This window comes from Homo sapiens, chromosome 2 (assembly GCF_000001405.40).
Source record: "Homo sapiens chromosome 2, GRCh38.p14 Primary Assembly".
Taxonomy (NCBI): Eukaryota; Metazoa; Chordata; class Mammalia; order Primates; family Hominidae; genus Homo; species Homo sapiens.
The window spans coordinates 77,837,723-77,864,772 of NC_000002.12; the positions used below are offsets into that span (position 1 = coordinate 77,837,723).

At 35.8% G+C, this 27,050-nt stretch overlaps 1 long non-coding RNA gene across 1 annotated transcript in view; it reads right to left on the bottom strand.

Moving 5' to 3' along the window:
* The window catches only part of LOC101927967 (uncharacterized), a 547,036-nt gene that overhangs the window by 94,027 nt on the left and 425,959 nt on the right, over positions 1-27,050 (bottom strand). The window contains exon 3 of the long non-coding RNA NR_110288.1: positions 2,047-2,168. This is a non-coding gene — a long non-coding RNA (uncharacterized LOC101927967). The remainder of the gene's footprint in view (positions 1-2,046; positions 2,169-27,050) is intronic.

Below are 27,050 nucleotides of genomic sequence, written 5' to 3' on the forward strand. Positions count from 1 at the left end.
ATATTCCTAAATTCTCATATGTTTTGGTATATATTATCAGTCATAATTATGATTGTTATGTTAAATTGTTGTATGCCACATAAATAACCAAATTTTCTTGTCAATTGTATCTTTAGCCATGGCTATCTTAAATCTTTTGTCATCCCCAGACAAACATTGATTTACTCTGATTTTTCTCAAAAAGTGGTTTGCAATTGGCTACAGTCCAAATTTTGCCTTTTTAAGATAGAAATTTATTTAAAAAGACATTGCCAAGTACTCTTAAATACAAAATATCAAACAATTGAACTGTTTAAAAAGTTTCATGATTTAATTAAATAGCTAATGCATTCATAAGAATTAGTAACCCAACATCAAACAGAATAATTAATTACATGTAATTGAACTAATAGTAGACTAAAATAATGTTTATGACTTTTTTTTTAAAGTGGTGATTCTTTTTATATTATGTTTTCCAGAGCCAAGAAAACTTTCTTCTTTTGATCTATAGCTCACAGAAATTGGGTAAAGCACACATTTGTGAGGAAAATTAAAACGTTTGCTTTTCTCTTCAACGGACTTCTCCAGAATTTTGGGACTGTTTGTGAGTATTCTTGATTTATGGAAATACAGTCATTTGTATAAATTCAATAAGAACATGTTTTCTTTTGCAACAGCACACACTTGAAGACACTGGTTTTTTTTGTTTGTTTGTTTGTTTGTTTTGTTTTATTTACCAAGGCTTTGACTGGAATGGTGTATTTTAAGATCTGACTACACTACTTTGAGGAATTACAGTTGACCTTATGGAGCTGATAAAAAAAGCCCTTTGGAAAGACTGGCCTGGTACCTTGTTTACATAGTTCTCTTAAAGGTTCCTGACTTTGTGGTAAGTAAAGAATGTCACTTTCTGACAGGCCCAGGAACCTCAAGATATTTTGGGATAGCAAAGTAAGATCATTTCACCCAGTTTGTATAGGCCCAGTCTCATTGTGAATCATTGTCTTTGGTTCTTGAGCTAGAAAGGCTTTTAAAAGTCTAATAAGTGATACCTTATGAAAAATTTTCCATGAAAGCCAATTTTAAAATTCCTATATGGCCATTCACTATTTCTGTTGCACTTTATGCAAATAATCATGCCAAGTATAACACCAAAACTTGCTTTGCAAGTAAATTGGTCTCACTAAGATTTATATTTGGTAAAAATTGGGGACTAAAGAGGGAAATATTTTGCTTCAGAGGAAAACTATAAGATATCTGTTATTAGATTCCAGCCCTAACCATTGTTTTTGAGTTTTTATTAGTTTCCTAGTTAGAATCTGAACTGTGGATTGTAGAATCTGAACTCTGGAGTGATGTGAGATTTTGCCCTAAATACATGATTTCTTTTGCAATGCTTTCTATGAAAAATTTTAAGAAAAGGAGAAAATGTAAAAGAAAATTGTAGGACTCTTTAAATGTATTATAACAAAGAGAAGTTAAGCCATAGAGACTGAGTCACATAGCATGTTTGCAATTGTGCTTCTTAGATTATAGGTTAACTCTCTTCCTCAGTTCTTATTCTGTAAATGAGTAGGACAGACCAAAGACCAGACCTCCCCATCTTTTTAATCACTGATCTTTGTTATAGATTAACTGCCTCCTTCATTGTCCTCTACATAACTCAGACCAAATGGCATCCAAGACCCTGTGAAGGTTATATCTTCATTGTGGAATGTTAAATATACCCTTCCAAAAGAAAAAAAAGCACCTTGACTGGGTGGAGGGCTCACACCTGTAATCCCAGTATTTTGGGAGGCTGAGGCAGCAGGATTGTTTGAGGACCGGAGTTTGAGATCAGCCTGGGCAGCATAGGGACATGCTGTTTCTACATTTTTTTTTTTTTTTTTTTTTTTTTTAGTAGAGACGGGGTTTCACCGTATTAGCCAGGATGGTCTCAATCTCCTGGCCTCAAGATCTGCCCGTCTCAGCCTCCCAAAGTGCTGGGAATACAGGCGTGAGCCACTGCGCCTGGCCTGTTTCTATAATTTTTTTTAAAAAAAGTTTGTCAGGCTTGGTGGTACATACCTGTATTCCCGGCTACTCCAGAAGCTGAGGTGGGAGAATCACTTGATCCTGGGAATTCAAGGCTGCCGTGAGCTAGGATCACACCATTACACTCCAGCCTGGGTGACAGAGCAAGAAACTGTCTGAAAAAAAAAAAAAAAATTAAAAATTAAATTTCGAAAAGACCAACTAAATTAATCAAATTATTGTAACTAGGCATTAAGCATTAAATAGAAAGATATTGAACATCTTTTAAACTTCCCTAAACTTCATCTTTATAACTGAATCCAATCTTCTACAGTTCAGAACACTGACTTCCATTCTTTGGAATCTTACCTTCCCGGGCAGCCTGCCCTTACATTTTGTGCTTGAATAAACTCTCTTTAAACTAGATACTGACCTTTTAGATTATTTTTGGTTGACAAGACAAAGAAATTAAAATGAACTTTTCAATTGCACTTTAAAGTTTATCAAGATTCTAAGCCTATGTATTTATTTAATCCTCACAACAAGTCTGTAAGTATAGTTACCAACCTTATTTTAGAGATGAGAAACTGAATCTTCAAGAATTTAATTAATTTTTCTAAGCTAATACAGTTAGCAAATAATGAAAGCAGGACTGATTTGGGGTCTCTTAATGCCTAAACCAGCCCTCTTTTCATTACAACGGCATTTTCCAATGTGTGTTCTCTGGAACTGTATTGTGAACAGAGTGAAAAAGAGACCCTGTGCTAAATTAAGTTCTACAAATGTTGAAATAAAGAAAATTTTCTATATTTTCTAACTAGACAACTCCTCATAATTTGTAATATGCTATCAAATAATTTGAATCAATTTTATTTTTTATTTTTCTTAATTTTTATTTATTTTATTATTATTATTATTGTTATTTTGAGATGGAGTTTAGCTCTTGTTGCCCAGGCTGGAGTGCAATGGCATGATCTCAGCTGACCTCAACCTGCGATTCCCGGGTACAAGCAATTCTGCCTCAGCCTCCCGAGTATCTAGGATTACAGGTGCCCACCACCACACCTGGCTAATTTTGTATTTTTAGTAGAGACAGGGTTTCTCCATGTTGGTCAGGCTGATCTCGAACTCCAGACCTCAGGTGATCCACCCACTTCAGCCTCCCAAAGTGCTGGGATTACAGGCGTGAGCCACTGTGCCCGGCAAATCAATTTTATTTAAGTTTAGGTTTGTTTTATGGCAGAGTGAACCCTGAAACTAAAGTTCCTTAGAAATTTCTCTGGGAAATGCTGGACTTTGTGATTCTACACTCCAGAGTTCAGATTCTAACTATCAGTGAAAGAATATCACTGAGTCTGCTTGGAATATGGATTAAAAAAAATACCCCTACTTGGGAGAGTCATTGAGAGCCTATGGTGGATAAATAAAAATGATGTTTTAATTAATATCAACTATTAGAGAAAACTGGTAATCAACAGGTTAAAGATCTATCTGCCCCTTTGCCTTGTGTAGATACAAATGAAATATGCAAAATATTTTCTAAAATAGCATATGATACTAAAATAGCCTAAACTTCAGATGCCATTTTGCGAGCCCAAAATGCTGCGGTGATTTGGGGTAAGCATGGACAGATTTTCAACATTGAACATTTAGAGCAATTTCTTCTCCAAGTTGGTTTTATTATACCTGATTTTTAAAAAAGGAATTGCTCTCTTATTTCAGACTACACTCATATTCTTGAGCTTCCAAAAGTTCTCTTTTTTATTTAAAATGAAAACAATTACTGCAGTGTATTATGCTGAATTACATCTAAAAATCCAAACCATTTCTGCAGCAAATTCTATTTAACTGTCCTAATATCCTCTTTTAATATGGGTTTCACTAGAGAGATAAAAAATTAAATGTTTGCCAGAGTGATGCATTAATAACTCAAAACCCTTAATTATAGCAGTGCCCAATTTAATTAAACCCTACATTACAAACTGTCGGCCTCCATATCATGGACCCCAAGTTGAATGGTTTATTGCTGAGCTATTAAAAAAAGTTATTTCATATTTCAGAATATGATACAAGTTCTTCACTTATGAAAGAATAATCTTTGTTTTCAACTGGAAAAAAATACTGTATACAAACCCAACATTGACAGTGTAGGCATAGCTTTTATTTCATTAAAAATATTCCTGCACACTTCTTTGATCATTTCTGCTACCCTAAATTAGTAACTGTTTTAGAAATGAAACAAAAGAAACCAGAAAGGCAGATGAATAAGGTGTCTCATGTAAATTTTCTTGACATAAAAATAAAGAACCTCACTAAAATTTTAAGAACTAAATGAATAGTAATCTGTGTTTTCAAATACTACTTATTTTTAAAGTGATATTGCTTCTCTGAAAAAGCTCTTAAACTCTACGCTTTTTTCTCCCCTATCACATGATCATTATGGGTCTCAGGATTAGAATAATGGATTACAAACTTGAGCATGAATGAGAATCAACTGGAGGGCTTGTTAAAAACAGATTTCTGGGCCGCTTTCACATAGTTTCTGATGCAGTAGACTGGGAAAGGTTCGGGAATTTTATTTCCTACAAGTTTCAAGGTAATACGGATTCTCCTGGTCCTTTTTTATTCCTGGCAGGCTCCTCTGACAACTGACAGTTTATGCTAAGGAGAAGCCTCAGAGTTTGCACAGCCCCACATGATAGTCAGTGTGGGGGCTGATCATTACAGAAAGACAACCATGGATTTAGGGTGGGGATTTGAGTCAGAAGGTTTTAGCTGTATAAAGACTGCGTTTAGCCATGTGGGCAATAAATCAATTGTGGCTACATAATGAAGTCTCCATAAGACTGGACCCTAAAACTCAAGTGAACTTCTGGGTTGGTAATATTCCAGGCATATTTTCACACATGAATATCAGGAGGTAATAGTCTCTGATAAAACAGACTTTAAACCAACAAAGATCAAAAGAGACAAAGAAGGTCATTATATAATGGTGAAGGGATCAATTCCACAAGAAGAGCTAATTATCCTAAATATACATGCACCCAATACAGGAGCACCCAGATTAATAAAGCAAGTCCTTAGAGACCTAGAAAGAGACTTAGACTCCCACACAATAATAATGGGAGACTTAAACACCCCACTGTCAACATTAGACAGATCAACAAGACAAAAAGTTTAAAAGGACATCCAGGAATTGAACTCAGCTCTGTACCAAGCAGACCTAACAGACATCTACAGAACTCTCCACACATATCAACAGAATATACATTCCTCTCAGCACCACATTGAACTTATTGCAAAATTGACTACATAGTTGGAAGTAAAGCACTCCTCAGCAAATGTAAAAGAACAGAAATTATAACAAACAGTCTCTCAGACCACAGTGCAATCAAACTAGAACTCAGGATTAAGAAACTCATTCAAAACCACTCAACTACGTGGAAACTGAACAACCTGTTCCTGAATGACTACTGGGTACATAACGAAATGAAGGCAGAAATAAAGATGTTCTTTGAAACCAATGAGAACGAAGACACAACATACCAGAATCTCTGGGACACATTTAAAGCAGTGTGTAGAGGGAAATTTATAGCACTAAATGCCCACAAGAGAAAGCAGGAAAGATCTAAAATTGACACCCTAACATCACAATTAAGAGAACTAGAGAAGCAAGAGCAAACACATTCAAAAGCTAGCAGAAGGCAAGAAATAACTAAGATCAGAGCAGAACTGAAGGAAATAGAGACAGAAAAAACCCTTCAAAAAATCAATGAATCCAGGAGCTGGTTTTTTGAAATGATCAACAAAATTGATAGACCGCTCGCAAGACTAATAAAGGAGAAAAGAGAGAAGAATCAAATAGACGCAATAAAAAATGATAAAGGGGATATCACCACCGATCCCACAGAAATACAAACTACCATCAGAATACTATAAACAGCTCTATGCAAATAAACTAGAAAATCTAGAAGAAATGGATAAATTCCTAGACAAATACACCCTCCCAAGACTGAACCAGGAAGAAGATGAATCCCTGAATAGACCAATAACAGGCTCTGAAATTGAGGCAATAATTAATAGCCTACCAACCAAAAAAAGTCCAGGACCAGATGGATTCACAGCCGAATTCTACCAGAGGTACAAGGAGGAGCTGGTACTGTTCCTTCTGAAACTATTCCAATCAATAGAAAAAGAGGGAATCCTCCCTAACTCATTTTATGAGGCCAGCATCATCCTGATACCAGAGCCTGGCAGAGACACAACAAAAAAAGAGAATTTTAGACCAATATCCCTGATGAACATTGATGCAAAAATCCTCAAAAAAATACTGGCAAACTGAATCCAGCAGCACATCAAAAAGCTTATCCACCATGATCAAGTGGGCTTCATCCCTGGGATGCAAGGCTGGTTCAACATATGCAAATCAATAAACGTAATCCAGCATATAAACAAAACCAAAGACAAAAACCACATGATTATCTCAATAGATGCAGAAAAGGCCTTTGACAAAATTCAGCAACCCTTCATGCTAAAAACTCTCAATAAATTAGGTATTGATGGGACGGATCTCAAAATAATAAGAGCTATTTATGACAAACCCACAGCCAATGTCATACTGAATGGGCAAAAACTGGAAGCATTCCCTTTGAAAACCGGCACAAGACAGGGATGCCCTCTCTCACCACTCCTATTCATCATAGTGTTGGAAGTTCTGGCCAGGGCAATCAGGCAGGAGAAGGAAATCAAGGGTATTCAATTAGGAAAAGAGGAAGTCAAATTGTCCCTGTTTGCAGATGACATGACTGTATATTTAGAAAACCCCAGTGTCTCAGCCCAAAATCTCCTTAAGCTGATAAGCAACTTCAGCAAAGTCTCAGGAGGCAAAATCAATATGCAAAAATCACAAGCATTCTTATTCACCAATAACAGACAAATAGAGAGCCAAAACATGAGTGAACTCCGATTCACAATTGCTTCAAAGAGAATAAAATACCTAGGAATCCAACTTACAAGGGATGTGAAGGACCTCTTCAAAGAAAACTACAAACCACTGCTCAATGAAATAAAAGAGGACACAAACAAATGGAAGAACATTCCATGCTCATGGATAGGAAGAATCAATATCGTGAAAATGGCCATACTGCCCAAGGTAATTTATAGATTCCATGCCATTCCCATCAAGCTACCAATGACTTTCTTCACAGAATTGGAAAAAACTACTTTAAAGTTCATATGGAACCAAAAGAGAACCCACATTGCCAAGTCAATCCTAAGCCAAAAGAACAAAGCTGGAGGCATCACGCTACCTGACTTCAAACTATACTACAAGGCTACAGTAACCAAAACAGCATGGTACTGGTACCAAAACAGAGATATAGACCAATGGAACAGAACAGAGCCCTCAGAAGTAATACCACACATCTACAACCATCTGCTCTTTGACAAACCTGACAAAAACAAGAAATAGGGAAAGGATTCCCTATTTAATAAATGGTGCTGGGAAAACTGGCTAGCCATATGTAGAAAGCTGAAATTGGATCCCTTCCTTACACCTTATATAAAAATTAATTCAAGATGGATTAAAGCCTTAAATGTTAGATGAAAAACCATAAAAACCCTAGAAGAAAACCTAGGCAATACCATTCAGTACATAGGCATTGGCAAGGACTTCATGTCTAAAACACCAAAAGCAATGGCAACAAAAGACAAAATTGACAAATGGGATCTAATTAAACTAAAGAGCTTCTGCATAGCAAAAGAAACTATCATCAGAGTGAACAGGCAACCTACAGAATGGGAGAAGATTTTTGCAATCTACTCATCTGACAAAGAGCTAATATCCAGAATATACAAAGAACTCAAACAAATTTACAAGAAAAAAACAACCCCATCATAAAGTGGGCAAAGGAGATGAACAGACACTTCTCAAAAGAAGACATTTATGCAGCCAAAACACACATGAAAAAATGCTCTTCATCACTGGCCATCAGAGAAATGCAAATCAAAACCACAGTGAGATATCATCTCACACCAGTTAGAATGGTGATCATTAAAAAGTCAGGAAACAACAGGTGCTGGAGAGGATGTGGAGAAATAGGAACACTTTTACACTGTTGGTGGGACTGTAAACTAGTTCAACCATTGTGGAAGACAGTGTGGTGATTCCTCAAGGATCTAGAACTAGAAATACCATTTGACCCAGTCATCCCATTACTGGGTATATATACCCAAAGGATTATAAATCATGCTGCTATAAAGACACATGCACACGTATGTTTATTGCAGCACTATTCACAATAGCAAAGACTTGGCACCAACTCAAATGTCCATCAGTGATCGACTGGATTAAGAAAATGTGGCACATATACACCATGAAGCTGGAGACCATCATTCTCAGCAAACTACCGCAAGGACAAAAAACCAAACACCACATGTTCTCACTCATAGGTGGGAATTGAACAATGAGAACACTTGGACACAGGAAGGCGAACATCACACACTGGGGCCTGTCATGGGGTGGGGGGAGGGGGAAGGGATAGCATTAGGAGATATACCTCATGTAAATGACGAGTTAATTGGTGCAGCACACCAACATGGCACATGTATACATATGTAAAAAACCTGCACGTTGTGCACATGTACCCTAGAACTTAAAGTATTAAAAAAAAAAAGAATATCAGGAAGTAATAAATCCTGAGGACAATGCAAATTTCAAATTTGGAACTCTCCTACAGTCTGCCCTGTGAATCTCTCTCTTTAGCTGATTTTAGTTCGTATCCTTTCCCCTTAATAAGTACATCCATGAGTATAAATATCCATGAGTATAGTAGCTCTCAATGCTTTCTGTGAGTCTTTTCAGTCAATTATTAAACATGAATGTGGTTTTGAAAGTTGTCCTGTAGGACTCTTCTTTTTTAACTTTGGACTCTTCCCTATAACCCTAATTTCTTGCAGTTGGGGCCAGAAGTTTTGGGCAGACTTGACATTCTGGAGAACTGTGTCTTAAACCTCAAAGTCCAGTTTACTCTAGGTTTGGGGGTGGAAAAATGAAAGAGGGGAAGTGAGTAAAAGAAAGAAAGATGGTGAGGAGAGTAAGAGGGAGAGAAAAAAAGTGGCTACAGGATGCCAAGAATGAGAGTGAAACCACTTTATCTGTGCCTCAGAGGATACTTTTACCCTCAATACAGGTGTCCCTCAATATCTGGGTGATGGGCTCCAGGACCCCTGAAGCCATCAAAATTTACTTAGGCTTAAGTCCCTGATATAAAATGCTGTAGTGTTTTCATGTAATCTACACATATCTTCCCTTCTATTTTTTCATCTTTACTTATTATACCTAATAGCATATAAATACTATGTGAATAGTTGTTATACTATGTTGTTTAGAAAATAATGACAAGAAGAAAAGTCTGTACATGTTCAGTAGAGATATACCCATCTGTTTTCTTTTTAAAAATATTTTCAATCTGCGGTTAGTGGAATCTAGGGATGTAGAGACCATGAGTATGTAGGAACCACTGTATTAGCTTTTCGCCATATACCACTAATCTCCATATCACCGTAGCTAGTTACACCTCCTAGGAGACAAAGGAAAACCTGAGTGAAGGCTTTTGGTATTGCCATCTTCAGTATGCTAATCTAATCTATCTCCTAGATTTCTATGTATCTCAAAAGCTACAATACTACATCATATAAATTCCTATGCTTTAGACATCCTGTGGTTTCTGGAACATTTAAAGTATTGAAGGATCCAGAAACATTATATCAAAAAACTTAGATAGCATCCATTTTATGTATTAAAAGGGAAAGAAAGTCATCTGTTTTTCTTTTATATGCTTGTCACAAGAGCCCGCACTAGCTCCAAACAAGATATAAAAAATGCCAACAGAATACTTCTCCTTTGAGATAGAGAGAGCTTTTATAAAGGGAGAAAAAGTCAGCTGAGTACTCTTCAGTTCTTTAGGGGTTGTGTCAGGGGGTGTCAGGGGTGGGAGAAGGTCCACTTGACTGAGGAATTTAGAGAGGAAAAATAGTGTTAATTTAAATTTCTTCTTTCTCCTCAGTAAAGTTTACTCTAATACTGTTAAGTATCTCTAGAGCAATATTAAGAATCTCTCAAATGAATTCACTGAGATGTGACAAATAATTGCCAGTGATGTGTTATATTTTTCTGAATATTTTATATATTCATTACTTACTTTAAATTGTGTTTATTCTCTTCAATTACAGATTTTCAGTGCGGTTGTAAATTGTATGTACAAGTTCAAGAAAGAATTGGACACTTTCTATATGCAGAACTCTCTGCCAAGCTTTGTGCTAGATAAAAAATGAAGGAAAAATGACAAAAAGTGTCTACTCAGAAGGCACTAGAAAAGAACAACTGTGGCTGCAATGGTTTCTGTTTAGCATGGTAACAAAGTAATTACAATTCTTCCTTTATATTTGCATCCTCTACACTGTTTGCATATACTTGGTCCTCAAAAATATTCATTGAATGCTTAAACTTTTTATAGCTTTACAGTTTTAAAAAATGCATATATTTATGAGCGTCCTATTTAGGTGGACTAATTCTAAGGGGAACATAAAGGAGAGAGCTCTGTGTTCCAAAAATAACTGAAAAAAATACTTCTGCAATTATTTAATTCCATAAAATAAAAAATACAAAAAATTCATGCATTTTCATCTCAAGGAAAGATGGATATCCGTACAGAATTTTTACAGATGCACACAATGAAGAATAAATATTATTTATTACTCACATTTTCTGAAACTGTGTTTGATAGTAATACTCTGCCTCCCCTTCTTCAAAATTTATTCTGCTGCTTTTGTATTTTATGTGTATTTAATCATTTCAATTAAATTGGAGATCACTGAGGTTTTAAAATTAGATCTGCTTTTATATAAAGATCTTTCAAAGCTCTTAGTAGAATTGAAATATGGAGTAGTAAGAAAATGTGGTTTGAAGTGGGTTTATTTTTCTGTTTCTTTATAATCACGCATTTTAATAATTTTTTAATGTCAAAAATGTATGTCTCACCATCTTCTAATGTAATCATCTATATACCTAGAAAAATGAGTACAAGATCTACATGAGGAAAACTACAAAACTTTGAAGAAAAAATATCAAAAAACTAAGTGGAGATATTCTATATTCATATGTAGAAAGACTGAATGTTGTCAAGATGTTAGTTCTTTTCAATTTGATCTACAGAATTAATGCAATCCCAGTAAAAATACCAGTGAATTACTTTGTGGATATCAATAAACTGATTCTGAAGTTTGTAAGGAGAGGCAGAAGATCAGAATAGCCAATGCAATACCTAAGGAGAAAAACAAAGTTGGAAGACTTATACTACCCAACTTTAAGACTTACTATACAGCTATAGTAATCAAGCTAATGTGTTATTGGTAAAAGAATCATCACATAGATTAATGGACTAGAATAAAAATCTTCAAAATAGATCAACATATAGTCAACTGATCTTTGACAGAGGAGTATGTGTAATACAATGAAGAAAAGATGGTCTTTTTCAATAAATGATGTTGGAACAACTGTCATCCTACATGTAACAAAAATGAATCTAAATAGATTTTATACTCTTCAAAAAATTTAACAACAACAACAAAAAATGGATCACAGACCTAAACATAAAACACAGACCTACCAAACTCCTGGACCATAATGTAGGAGAAAATCTTGGGTTTGGTGATAGCTATTTTTTTTTGAGGGGGCAGGGGGTGGGGGGTGGGATGGAGTCTCGTTCTGTCACCCAGGCTGGAGTGCAGTGGCATGATCTCAGCTCACTGCAGCCTCTGCCACCCGGGTTCAAGTGATTCTTCTGCCTCAGCCTCCTGAGTAGCTGGGATTACAGGCACACACCACCATACTCGGCTAATTTTTGTATTTTTAGTAGAGACGGGGTTTCACCATGTTGGTCAGGCTGGGTCTCGAACTCCTGACCTCGCGATCCACCCACCTTGCCCTCCCGAAGTGCTGGGATTACAGGCATGAGCCACTGTGCCCGGACAGCTTTTTAGATATACCACTAAAGGCTCAATCTGTTAAAAAAAATTAATAAATTGGACATAATTCAAATATAAAATTTCTGCTCAGTGAATGACACTGTCAAAAGGACAAGAAGACAAGGCATAGCCTGGGAGAAAATAATATTTGCGAAAGACACATCTGATAAAGGCTGTTATTTAAAATACCCAAAGAAAACTTAAAATTCAACAATTAAAAAAATGAACAACTCAGTTACAAAATGAAGCAAGGATCTTAACAAACACCTCATCAAAGAAGATATTTCGATGGCAAATACGCATATGAAAAGATTTCCACATCATATGACATTAGAGAAATGAAAGTTAAAATAACAATAGCAGATATTACTACAACTCTATTAGAATGGCCAAAATCCAGAACACTGAGAACACCAAATGCTGGTAAGGATGGGCAGCAACAGGAACTCTCATTCAGTGCTGGTGGAAGTGCAAAATGGTCCAACCAGTTTGGGAGAAATTTGGTTGCTTCTTACAAACTAAATATACTGGTACCTTACAATCCAAAAATTATGCCCTTTATATTTACCAAAAGAAGTAAAAAAATTATGTCCATGTAAAAATCTGCACTCTGATGATTACAGTGCCTTAATTTGTAATTGTCAAAACTAAGAAACAATCAGGATTTCCTTCATCAGGTTAATGGATAAACTGTGTTACATGCAGACAATGGCACATTAATTAGTGCCAAAGAGATATGAGCTATAAAGCCATGAAAGTGTTCTTTAATGCATAATACTGAGTGAAAGAAACCAGCCTGAACAGATTGCATATCGTTTAATTCCCAATATAAGGGAGATATTCTGGGAAAGCAAAACTATGAAGACAGTAAAAAGATCAATGATTGATAAGAATTGGGGAGGAAGGAATGAATATGTGTGGCATACAGGATTGTTAGGGTAATGACACTACTCTGTATGATACTATTATGATGGATTCATGTCACTGGAATGTATAACACAAAGAGTGAACTCTAATGTAAAATACAGACTGGTTGATAATGATATATCAATGTAGGCTTCATCAAGTATAATGAAGGTAAAATGGTGGTGGGGCATATTGATATTGGGGGAGAATATGCTTGTGGGAGGCTGGGGGTATATGGGAAATCTCTGTACCTTCTAGTCAGTTTTGTGGTGAATCTTAACTCCTATGAAACATAGTCTGCATGTATACATGTATTTTTGTATCTATCTATCTATCTATCTATCTATCTATCCATCCATTATGATTTCAATAGTTATAGTATTCTATTGTATGACTGGAGCCTAATAGACTTAATCCTAACCTATATTGTATTACTGACTTGCGCTGTTTCAAAACTTTCAAGATAAAAATTTAGTAACAGGAAAGAAAGCTTGTTACAGTATAATGGTAACTAATAAATGTAAAAGAGATGATGAAGTTAGAAACCCAATATTGAGTGCTAAAACTAGTCTCAAGGTGTCTGTCTAAAAATTACTGTTACATTACAAAGGGGAAAAAATACAGTGAAGAAAATTGGAGAATACCATATTAATTATATCATCAAAACTAATATCACCATGATTGAAGCAAACTCCATGTTCCTGCTAATACAATGCACTGAAATGGGCACATTGTTTCAGTTGTGTACCTGCCAAGAGTATATACATTGAATCCCTAATGAGTAAACATCCCGCAGAATTAAACAGAGAGTCATTCAACAAAATAACTCGCCAGTGATGTAAGGTACAGAAACAAACGTAAAAGCTCAGGATTTTCTCTGAATTAAAGTTGACTAAAAACACATGTTAAGTAAATGCAATGTGAATCCTGGATGGGAAAAAAAAACATCAGTCATTAATGGCATTATTAGGCAGTTGAAACAATTCGAGTATGAATATGAGGCAATAGAGTTGTAGTTATATTCCATCATTTTTGGCAAAGAAATGAAAATTCTTTAATGGAATTTTCTTCTTCTTGTGATATTAGGATTAAATTATTTACAGGCAAGGGACAGAATTTCTATTTTCTTATTTTCAAAAGAAGATAAAAATATATATCATACACATACACAAAAGTATATATGTATATGCAAACATATTTTAGATACCGAGAAAATATCTAAAAGAAGACAAATAAGAAAGAGGAAGAAGAAAGAGAATGAGAAGGAGAGGGAGAAGAAAAAAAAAGAGAAAATGGGAGCAAAATGTGAACAAATCAAATAGGGGCATACATGGAAAATCCTGGTGAAAGTTATATGAGATTTCATTACATTAATCCTTGTAAATGTTATAAATTTGAAATTACATAAATTTACACACAAAAAAGAAAATACATGCACAGTTATGACAAACATAAAACAGTTTTCTTATTTTATTCACAGGAAAAATTCCTGCAAGAATATTTTCTTATTTATTAAAGCATATAAATAAACTTATGAATATAGAATTTTATTATACTTGATTTAAAATTATAAACTAATTATGAAAGTATTTCAGTAGTTGCCATCCAGAATTATGGTCTATTTCTCAATTTGTACCTACATTTCTCTTTTTATTTCACAATAATGCTTGGTAGTGTTTGTGTGTGTATATGTGGGTGGGGGGTGCGGGGGGCGGAGTAGTTTATTGAGAGACCTGGTCATTTCTTGTTGATAAATAGGCATGCAGATCAAAATGTAGTTTTATCTGTCTCTGTCATCTCTGCCTCTGTCTTTCTCTGTCAATCTTAAATAAACAAATAGATATTACCGATGCAATATTAAATAAAATAAACTTTTGCTTGTATATCATTTCTAGTTTCTGCAAGTATACAGATATACAGAGATTTTAGGATTTTCTAAACTAAAACTCTATTCCAGTAAGGAGTAATGAGTGATTTAGAGGTGATTTCCTTTTTTTTTTTTAAATTTAATTTTTGATTTCTATCTTTTGTACAGACATGGTCTTGCTTTGTTGTTCAGGCTGGTCTAAAATTCCTGGCTTCAAGCAATTCTCCTACCTCAGCCTCCCAAAATGCTGGCTGAGATTATAGGCATAAGTCACCATGCCCAGCCTAGAGATGATTTTCTACAAGAATTTTTACAGCATTTAAAAACACAGGAATTGCAAAAAATCTAAGTAATTTTATTGAACTATAACACAACCTCCTAGCTCAGGAGTAGTAATTTGCAGCATAACATGAATGCTCTGACATGAATGCAGTATAACTTTGCCCTTCCCTTTGTGTATTGGCTCCCTCTGTGCTCTTTTAACAACTATTGAAGAGATTATTTACCATTATTTACGCCATGTCTTTCTTTAGTTTCTTTATCTTCACTCTATCAAATGGCCTTTTTGCATCCACGAATTGACTCATTAGAGGAGCTGCAAATGTGGTAAATTCCATGAGAAGAGCACATCATTGTCTAGAACCTGAGTAACACAGCTTTTGGTTTGAAAATCAATTTGGATAAAATAAGGCTTTTAACACCATGGTCTTCTAATTTGTTCAAAAATTTTAACTCGCTTAGTAAAATTTAATAATTTTCTCTACACTTTCATTCATTTTTATGCTATTTTTCTAAATATTTAACATTTTGCTATTTTAAACATTCATCAATTTTCAGTTATATTTTCTACCCAATTATTACTTATGCAAGAAAAAAAAATTGTTGGCTGTGCACTGTGGCTCACGCCTGAATTCCTAGCACTTTGGGAGGCCAAGGCGGGTGGATTGCTTGATATCAGGAGTTTGAGACCAGCCTGGGCAACACAGTGAAACCTCATCTCTACTAAAATACAAAAAAGTTAGCTGGGCATGGCGGCGTGCACCTGTAATCCCAGTTACTTGAGAGGCTGAGGCAGGAGAATTGCTTGAACCCGCGAGACACAGGTTGCAGTGAGCTGACATTGTGCCATTGCACTCCAGCCTGGGCAACAGAGCAAGACTCCATCTCAAAGGAAAAAAAAAAAACGAAAAAGTAAAAGAAAAAGCTATTGTTTGAGAATTCCATCACATGAAAATTTATCTTGAGTGTCTTACATTATTTTCATTGTTGACTTAAATAATTTGGGTCTGTTTAAAACAGTTATTCTTTAGTAGATAAAGAAAGTACGTTTGTATTCTTAATTGGGTTTAAGTTTATATACAAAATGAATGTTGTATTTTTTCAGAAGTCTTTTTTGTCTATCCAGGTAAAGGTAATTTCTTATTTTCTTATTGATGTCATTGATTATATCAATTTATTCCCTTGTAATGGATAAATTTTATGTTTTTATTATAGTTCATTTATGATAATGCTCTGTTATTTTTCAAGTACACTACAGAAATAGCTTTTTAAATAATAATGAGAAAACCTTGATATGTGCCAGATATATTCAAGACTTTGGGGTACCCACATAGATCAGGCAACATTGCTATGTCTAATTAAAGACATAACCTGCTGCTTCAAAAGATTCGCTTGGCTAATATATTAAACCCAGGCATTTCTGGCTTTAAAGCCTGAACTCTTGTTTTTTTTTTTTTTTTTTTTCTCATCACACTTAAATGCCTTTTTCAATATTGTGATGTCACTTAGGTATCCTCTAGTGAAGCTAAAGGCCTCCAAAATTTACCAGATAAGGTTAAGAGATAATTCCTATGTTATTTTAAATATTACTGAGCCAAGAAAAAAAAAATCTAATTTTTTAAATGTACTCAGTACTTATAACAAACATTGGTATACAGACATAAATGCTGAACAACTACAACACGAATACACTCTATACATCAAAATATCATATTGTATACCATAAATACAGATAATATTTCTATCAATTAAAAAATACTATAGTACCTATAAAAAGAAATAATTTGGAAAATATTGAAAACAAATGAGTTATATCAAGAAAGCCTTTCCAATTATTAATATTATTAATATTAATGACAGAAGGATACATGGACTATAATAATTTTTTAATATGAAAACTAGATTGGCTTTTGTATGAGTTAGACAGCTACCTCATATTTTACACAAAAATAATTATAGGCAGATTAAATATTTAAATGTGAGACATAGCAAAAAATTGCAACACATTAAAAATAAACTGATACTAAAAATTAATTACTATGTCAAAACAAAAATCTTTCCACAGATTATGGAAAAATGTCAATATGAGGTAAAAAGTGTTTACCATGTATGCTAATAGATACACTTTCATCAGTTTAAAAATAAATTTAAGAAAAAATCTTTTCAGAGACATGATCTCACTCTGCTACCCAGACATGATCACCGGATGGATTACAGAGGCACAATCATAGCTCACTGCAGCCTTGAATTTCTGGGCTCAGGAGATCCTCCCATCTCAGCCTCCCAACGTGCTGAGATTGTAGGTGTGAGCCACTGCACCTTAATTTTCAATGAATCTTTAAAATTAAGTTTAATAAAATCATGCAAATCTCAGTTTTTACATGTATAAATGTCTTTAAAAAGTTATTGTTAAAGAAAAAATCTATAAACATATGCAAAGTTCAATTTTATTATTAATAAAAAAACAAAATAACAGGAACTTTTTATTGTAAACTGGTGAAAGTAGAAATGATGGCAATGCCCAGTGTTATTAAGACCTTTGGAAAATGGTTAAATTCATAAACTCTTGAAGGAAGGGTAAATTTGAAGAGAAAAATCTCAAGGGAGATGGACCAAAATGCAGACAACATCATAAAGTTCTTCGAGAAATTACATATACTTGTTCCAGCTCACCTTTTTAAAGCAAACAACATATTTTCAGAGGTCTATATTCATGTTATATTCATTATGCATGTTATACAGAAATCAATAAATTGTAAAAATGTTTAAATATCCAATACAATGTGATTGGATAAACAAAATATGGTACATTAATAAAATGAAAAACTCAAGTAGTATCTCCTAAGAGGAGATAAACAATAAAATTGAAATAGTTAATAAAAAAATACATTTAGTATTTTGTTAGTCTTGAATATGATTGCAGCCTTTTTTTAAACAACCTTTAGACTTACACTTTTTAATCAAAATGTAATGTGGGTTAATAATAGATATTTTAAAAATCACAAGTAATATGGTTTTGATCTATGTCCCCACCCAAATCTCATGTTGAAATGTAATTCCCAATGTTGGAGGTGGGGCCTGGTGGGAGGTGATTGGATCATAAGAGTGGTTTCTCATGATTTAACACCACCACTCCTTACTCCTCTCTGTTGTCCTCAGAATAGTGAGTTCTCAGGTAGCTGGATGTTTAAAAGTGTGTGCACCTCCCCCATCTCTCTTCCTTCTGCTCTGGCCACTTCAAACCTGCTTGCTTCCCCTTCAGCTTCTGCCATAATTGTAAGTTTTCTGAGGCCTCCCCAGAACCAGATGTTGCCATGTTTCTTGTAGAGCCTGCAGAACCATGAGCCAATTAAACCTCTTTTCTTTATAAATTACCAAGTCTCAGGTTTTTCTTTACAGCAGTGGGAGAATAGACTAATACAGAAACCTGGTACCAAGGAGTAGAGCATTGCAATCAAGATACTTGAAAATGTGGAAGCAGCTTTAAAACTGGGTAATGGGCAGGGATTGGAACAGTTTGGAGGGCTCAGAAGAAGACAGGAAGTTAAGGGAAAGTTTGGAACTCCCTAGAAACTGGTTACATTGTTGTGACCAAAATGCTGATAGTGATATGAACAGTGAAGTCCAGGCTGAGGAGGTCGCAGATGGAGATGAGGAACTTATTGGAGATGGAAGTAAAGGTCACTTTCTTATGTCTTAGCAAAGAGTTTGGCTATATTGCACCCCTGATCTAGGGATCTGTGGAACTTTGAACTTGAGAGTGATGATTTAGGGTATTTGGCAGAAAAAAATTTCTAAGCAGTAAGGCATTCAAAAAGTGGCCTGGTTGCTTCTAACTACCTATACTCATATGTGTGAGCAAATAAATGACCTGAAACAGGAACTCATATTTTAAAAGGAAGCAGAGCATGTTTGGGAAATTTGCAGCCTGGCCATGCAGTAGAAAAGAAAAACCCATTTTCTGGGGAGGAATTCAAACTGGCTACAGAAATTTGCATAAGTAAAGAGGAGCCAAGTGCTGATATCCAAGACAATGGGTTAAAGACCTCAGAGGCATTTCAGAGACCTTCTTGGCATGTCCCTTCCATCACAGGCCCAGAGGGCTAGGGGGGCTGAATGATTCTGTGTGTCAGGCCCAGGGCTCCACTGCTCTGTGGAGCCTCAGGACACTGCCTCCTGTATTCTGGTGGCTCCAGTTCCAGATGTGTCTCCTACTCCAGCTTTGGATTAAAGGGGTCCAGGAACAGCTCAGGTTGATGCTCCAGCAGGTGTAAGCCAGAAGTCTTGGTGGCTACCCCAAAATGTTAAGCCTGCTGGTGTGCAGAGTGCAAGAGTTGAGGCTTGGGAGCCTCCAACTAGATTTCAGAGGATGTATGGAAATGTCTGGATGTGCAGGCAGAAGTCTGGTGCAGAAGCAGATCCCTCAGGAAGAAGCTCTGCTAGGGCACAGCAGAAGGGAAATGTGGGGTTGGAGCCCCCACACAGAGTCCCCACTGGGGCACTGTCTAGGTGAACTATGAGAAGAGTGCCTCCATCTTCCAAACCCCAGAAAGGTAGATCCACTGACAGCTTGTGCCACAAGCCTGGAAAAGCTGGAGGCACTCAATGCCATCCCATGAAAGAGCCACAGGGGCTATACCCTGCAGAGCCAAAGGGGCAGAGATGCCCAAGGCTCTGGGAGCCCATCTCTTGCATTAGCTTGCCCTCAATGTGAGGCACGGAATCAAAGGAGATTTTGGAGCTCTAAGATTTAATGACTGCCCAGCTGTGTTTTGGACTTACATGGGGCCTGTGGCCCTTTTTTTTGGCCAATCTCTCTAATTTGGAATGGGAACGTTTACCCAACGCCTGTAACCCCATTCTATCTTGGAAGTAACTAGCTTATTTTTTATTTTACAGGCTCAAAGGCAGAAGGGTTTGCTTTGTCTCAGATGAGACTCTGGACTGGGACTTTTGAGTTAATGCTGGAATGAGTTAAGAGTTTGGGGGACTGTTGTGAAGGGATGACTGTGAGACAGCCAGGTGAGAGCAGGTCCCTGGCAAAACTCCAGCCAGCCTGCACACTGCAGTGGAGCCTCAGGAAGTCTGCAATGTCTGCAGCAGGGAGGAGCCTGACACTTTCTCTTCCTGTGTGGAAACTGGGATTCCAACTTCAAGGCAGCAGCACTCTAACAGGGACTCTGGCTTTGCAGAGAGTCCCTGTTTCCCCCTTTCCCTCATTTTTACTCCATAAAACCCTGTCTTACTCACCATTTAAATTGTCTATAACCCTGAATTTTCATGGCCATGGAACAAAAAACCCATATTTAGCTGAACTAAGAAAGATCCCTGCAACAATTGTATTTTAAAATATGAGAAGGAAATGAGATTTGGAAGGGGCCAGGTGCAGAATGATATTGTTTGAATCTGTGTTCCCACCCTAATCTCATGTTGAAATGTAATTCCCAATGTTAGGAGGTGGGGTCTGGTGAGAAGGGAGGTGATTGAGTCATGAGAGCAGTTTCTCATGGTTTAAACACCATTCCTATGACAATGCTGTCATAGGGATCGTGAGTTCTCATGGGACCTAGTTGTTTAAAAGTGTGTGCACTTTCCCCATCTCTCTTCCTTTTGCTCTTGCCATGTAAGACCTGCCTGCTTCTCCTCCACCTTCTTCCATGATCATAAGTTTTCTGAGGCCTCCCCAGAACCAGATGCTGCCATGCTTTCTGTACAGCCTGCAGAACCATGAGCCAATTAAACTTCTTTGCTTTATAAATTACCCAGTCACTCACAGGTATTTCTTTACAGCAGTATGAGAAGGAATACAACAAGTAAAGCTAAAGTAAATAATTTAAATCAATCTGAAGTAAACAACCACAAATATTTATATATGCATACATATATTTTTTAAAAAACAAATAAATTATAATTAGAGTTCAGCTATGGCACTTGTTAGAAGACTGTGCAAAGCACAAATTCCAATTACTTGAAAGAAATCTTTAATCCTAAAATATTATGCGATAACATAATTGTTACCATTGCTTTTTGAAGAATAATTTGTGTGTGTGTGTGTAGAATTATTGAAGAGCTAGTGAGGAAACAGGGAGTTTCCATTTAAAAAAGTTTATAGAATTTTGTCTTCCTAAACTCTAATTAAATTCTTATTAAATAAATTAGGAAAATAATGTATTTTAAAAATACATTAGATTTCTTATTTTTGACTTGTTGACTTAAGAGAAAAAGGCTGAAGCACAAAATATAATTTTAAGAGTTTACATGAACCAAAGTGAGGTCTGCTGCATGGGGGACACTTCCAAGTAGTTTTGGGGAGTGCTCCATCAACCCTTGTTACAAACTAGTTTTTAAAGGCAAATAAAACAAGGAGTGGGCTGATACAAGGTTATCTAATAGGAATTCTCATTGACTACAGAGATATCATTGATTAGTGATTGGCTATACATTATTGAAGTAATGGTTTGAGTTATGGTGTCCATCATATGGCATTTAAAGGCTTCTTGGCATCAGTTAATCTAGAGCCCACATAGCAAGTGCCTTTAAGAGATAATTGTTTTGCTCTAATGGGACAGATGTGACTGCTATTTTATTCAAATGCCTCTCTGGGCCTGATAATTTACAGGAGCTCACATTCCTCAGATACAAATTTGCTTTTTTTCTTCACCGATTAAACTGCCATTTATTCTAAATGATAGTATCAAAAGGATTGCATGTTACAGTTAAAAATAATACAAGTTCAAAGTAGTCATAAGGCTGTGTTATTGTGAATATATCAGAGCCATTCGAACCAGAGTGATCCATCCTGAAAAGGGACTGGCTGGGTAAAATGAGACTGACCTGCTGGGCTGCATTCCCAGGAGCTTAGGCATTCAAAATCATAACTTGTTAATGGTCAAGGAAACAGATTAATAATGTTTACTAAACAAACCCAGGACTTAACAGACCCAGAAAGTGTCCTGATGTCCCCATATCTTAAAGACAAAAGCATTCTTAGTTTAAGAATATTTTGCTTTAAGATAACTATGGAGATATTTGCAAAATCAGTAGAATTACACAAAGATTAACAATCCTTTGTTATGAGCCCTAGTGGTATAGCATACCTCCTCTCTCTCTCTATATATATATTTATTTACACACACGTGTATACATATATACACACACATATATGTGTGTGTGTTTGTGTGTGTGTATATGTATACGTATGTGTATATACACACACACACACAAACACACACACATATGATATGGTTTGGCTGTGTCCCCACCAAAATCTCATCCTGAATTGTAACTCCCACAATTCCCACGTGTCATGAGACGGACCCAGTGAGAGGTAATTGAATCATGGGGGTGGCCTTTCTCATGCTGTTCTCATAATAGTGAATAAGTCTCACAAGATCTGATGGTTGCATAAAGAGGAGTTTCCCTGTACAAGCTTTCTCTCTTTGCCTGCCATCATCCATGTAAGACGTGACATGCTCCTCCTTGCCTTCTGTCATGATTGTGAGGCCTACTTAGCCACGTGGAACTGTAAGTCCATTAAAACTCTTTTTCTTTCCAATCTCAGGTATGTTTTTATCAGCAGCATGAAAACAGACTAATACAATATATATTTTTTTTGTTTTTTGCTTTTTTAACTTCTATATAAACAAGCATTCTGCCTAAGGTAGGCATGTTTCTCCTCTTGCTTTCAGGAATGCCCTCCTCTATGGAGTAGCCATTGTTTTTGTTTCTTTATTTCTCGAATAAACTTGCTTTCACTTAACTTTGCAGCCCAGCCCCAAATTCTTTCTTGTGTAAGAAAGATCCAAGAATCCTCTCTTGGGACCCCTTTCCAGTGACTATTATGGTAAATACTTAGCATGACAGTTGTGCCAGGGGACCAAAAAACTTTTACTATGGCACTTGTTGGAAAATTATGAAAAGCACAAACTCCAATTATTTGGAAAAAACCCATCTAATCCTATAATATTATGTGATAACATAATTGCTACAATTGCTTTTCACAGAATAATTTGGGGTGTGTGTGTGTGTGTGTGTGTGTGCGTGTGTGTGTAGAATTATTGAAGAGTTAGTGAGGTAACAGGGTGCTTCCATTTAAGAAAGTTTATAGAATTTTGTTTTCCTAGAGGAATGAAAATTTGCCCAATAGAAAACGGCATTGTGCAGGACAGTAGAGGAATGATGACTGGAACTAACTTAGAGGCTCTAATAGTAAGATTGTATGCCATCTATGCAACTCCTAGCAATCACAAAATGTTTCATTGTTTATTGTCTTAGAATTGGTTGTCTTAGATTTTTTAAAATATAATTGCTTCTTTTATACTTCTGTAATTTGATTCTATCTTCTAGTTCCATGAAATGAACAGTTTACTCAGTTCATTTTTTTCATATATATGTGTTATTACAGCTTATTGGAAATTTGCAAAAAATGTGCTGCATGTTCTAAATTTTTGAATAGTAAATGAGATGTGTGTGTATATATATATATAGACATAAAACTATTAACAATGACTTTCTGATGGTACAGTTATTAATAATTTTTTCTTTTAATTTATTTTTTAAGAATTTAAAATTATTCTGTACTGCTTTCTTGATAAGAAAATACATATTTACATGGTAAACCTATATATTGAAAACTTAAGTAAAATATTAAATAAATGACGTCAGTTTACGATAAAATGTTAATAAAATTTGAAAAGAAATTGTATTAGGCCGTTTTCACACTGCTATGAAGAACTACCTGAGACTGGGTAGTTTATAAAAACAGGTTTAATTGACTCACAGTTCACATGGCTGGGGAGGCCTCAGGAAACTTACAGTCATGGCAGAAGGCAAAGGAGAAACAATGTATGTCTTACATGACAGAAGAAGAGAGAGGGTGAAGAGGGAAGTGCCAGTTTAATGCCATCAGATCTCGTGAGAACTCACTCACTATCATGAGAAAAGCATAAGGAAAACTACCCCCATTATCCAATCACCTCCCACCTGGTCCCTTCCTCTACACACATGGGGATTACAATTCATGATGAGATTTCAGTAGAGACGCAGAGACAAATCTTATCAGGAACCATTAAATTCACACTGTATGCTGCATTCATTCAGCATGTTAAAAAATACAAGTTAGTACCCTTCACATTTTACTCTTTTGCATTAAAAATGTTATATATGTATGTTTATCTGCAATTTTAAAGAATATAGATTAGACACTTTTACTCTTTTGTAACTGTTTTGGGTCTAAGGAAGTTTTTTTTTTTAGTAAAAAGGTCATCGTTGTCAATAGAGAAATAATTAGATTGCAATGCATTATCTGAAATGCTTTTTGCTTTATAAAACATTTTCCAGCAAAGTTTCTGTAAAAAATGAAATTCCTCCCCCTTAGGTTATATTTCACAAGGATTATGAGTATTAGGTGTCTTTCTTTTGATACCTGCCATGAAAGCTCTGCCTGGATAAAACCAGCCAAACTGGCTAATCTCCTACAGCTATTTGTGATAGTCACTATGCATGAGAATGGTAAGTGAGAGATGCAACTCAAGTGTTCCCACTGGGAAGAAAGTCTATCATCATCTGTCTAACATTGCTATGGCTCCTTAAATGAAGGATTCAATACCTGGAATCATTTTGAAAATATGCCAAAGCCATCTTTGCTCACTAATCCTTCTGACAGTTGAAATGCTATAATGAAAATATTACAAAAGTGGCTCTTACTAGAGACATTCATATGTTTTCCCTAAAGTTTAGGGGACTGTTTTCAACACCTTTCTCTCAATTAGTATTTCTTCTTAGAAGACTAATGCTTGGTTTGCACATGTATATTTTTAATAATTATATTTATTGAATAATTAATGACCAACTATTAGTTATCCTTTATTAGTTTATAAACTGATATTAAGAATTAAAAGATGAATAAAAATCAGATGTAGCAATATAGCACATCAAAATCTGAGTATAATAAACAATCTTTCAGGTAATTATTCCCCAAATCCAAGTAAAAATATAATCAGTGGGAGTAAATACAGAAACATCTAAATTAATGTCAACTTCACTGAGAGCTATTTGACAACATGTATTGAGGTCTGAAATCAATGTGATTCCCTGTCCTTATATTGAACAATACTGGACAATTTCTGTGTCTTTATCATAAAATGCTAGGGACAATCAAATATTTGCTTCTGGAAGATATGACAGTGAGCCCACTGAAATTGCTTTCTTTTTTTTTTTTTGAAATGGAGTCTCGCTCTGTCACCCAGGCTGGAGTGCGGTGGCGTGATCTCGACTCACTTTAAGCTCTGCCTCCCGGGTTCACGCCATTCTCCTGCCTCAGCTTCCCCAGTAGTTGGGACAACAGATGCCTGCCACCACGCCCGGCTAATTTTTTGTATTTTTTTAGTAGAGACGGGGTTTCACCATGTTAGCTAGGATGGTCTCGATCCCAGAGTGCTGGGATTACAGGCGTGAGCTAGCGCACCCATCCTAAAATAGCTTTCTTATCAAGACTAACAGATTGCTCAAGACTTATTTCAAGACCCTTAATTCACATTGCCAATCAATTCAAAGCCACTTTATCATAAATTGTTCCTAATCTTAGGCGTTTACACAGATTACAACTCCTACCTTAATATTACACAAATCAGGTCATCAGACTCTGTAACTATCCTCCAATTTGTTCATACTGAGACACTACTAATACTACTTCAAGTTGATATTCCCTCCTTATTGCAGTAAGTCTAATCAACTTAAATTTGCTTAATCAACAGCTTTTTCAGGTGGTCTTTGTGGAGGGCAACTGTCAATAGTTTCAAAGCACTTGAAGACACAAATATTCAATAATAGAGAGATATTCATTTGAATTAGCATACGATCATAAGGTAGAATGCCATAACATAATGAAAAATCAAGGATTTAAAAAAATAGATGGACATCTTGCATTTTATTCAAAAGGAGTGAAAACAAATGATAATCAAAATGATTTTTGTCTTCTACTCCACCCAAATTTGTTACTTCTCAATTTTATTCACTTCAGTAAAGAACTTTAACACCTATCTTGTTGCTCCAGCCAAAAATCATAAGGATTATTTTGGTTACACTTTTTGTCCCTATCTAGATATATTGTATTGACCTTTACATTTTGCTTTAATTACAAAGTATATACATCCCCTTTTGTTATTTGCATTTCCTAATATTGAAGTTGTTGGGACTCAGGACACACTACCCCAAAATGGGACTATAGGAGACTAAAATATGCCCTCACAAAATATACTTCTTGGCATATTTTGAGATAGCTATTCAGAGAAGCTGCAGACACAGGAATAGATCTGAAAAGCTGTCCTTTTGTAAAAGAAATTCACATCTATCTACATTAGTAAACAGCAAATGCAAGAATAGGCTTTCTCTGAGCCTCTTCATCTGCCTAAAACAGATCTAGAAAAGATCATATCAATGCTTAGCCCAGAAAGAATTTTGCATAGCCCATCACCTATTCTTCTGAAGGCTGCCTGAGAAACCTGATCTGTATAGTAAAAAAACCTTTGTTCATCATGGATGTCCTCCCCTCACCCTCCATGGCCTGTGTTGCCACCTCTCCACAACAAGCCCCTATTTCTTTCTCTAGCTCAAAATGCTATTTAAGCTTCAACCATCTGGCCCCTCTTTGAGTCTTATATTTTGTGGGATTCCTGTGCATATGCACATAATAAATGTGTATGCCTTTTCTCTCTCTTTCTTTTTTTTAAGAGATAGAGTCTTGCTCTTTTTTTATTTTTTAAGAGATAGTCTTGCCACTCTGGAATGCAGTGGCCTGGGATGGATCATAGCTCACTGTAGCCACAAACTCCTGGGCTCAAGGGATCATCCTGCCTCAGCCTCCTGAATAGCTGGACTACAGGCATGAGCCAGAGCATCCAGATTTGTCTTACTAATCTGTCTACTGTCAAGATCATTACAGAGCTCAAACCTTCAGAGGGTGGAAGGAAAGTTTTCTTCA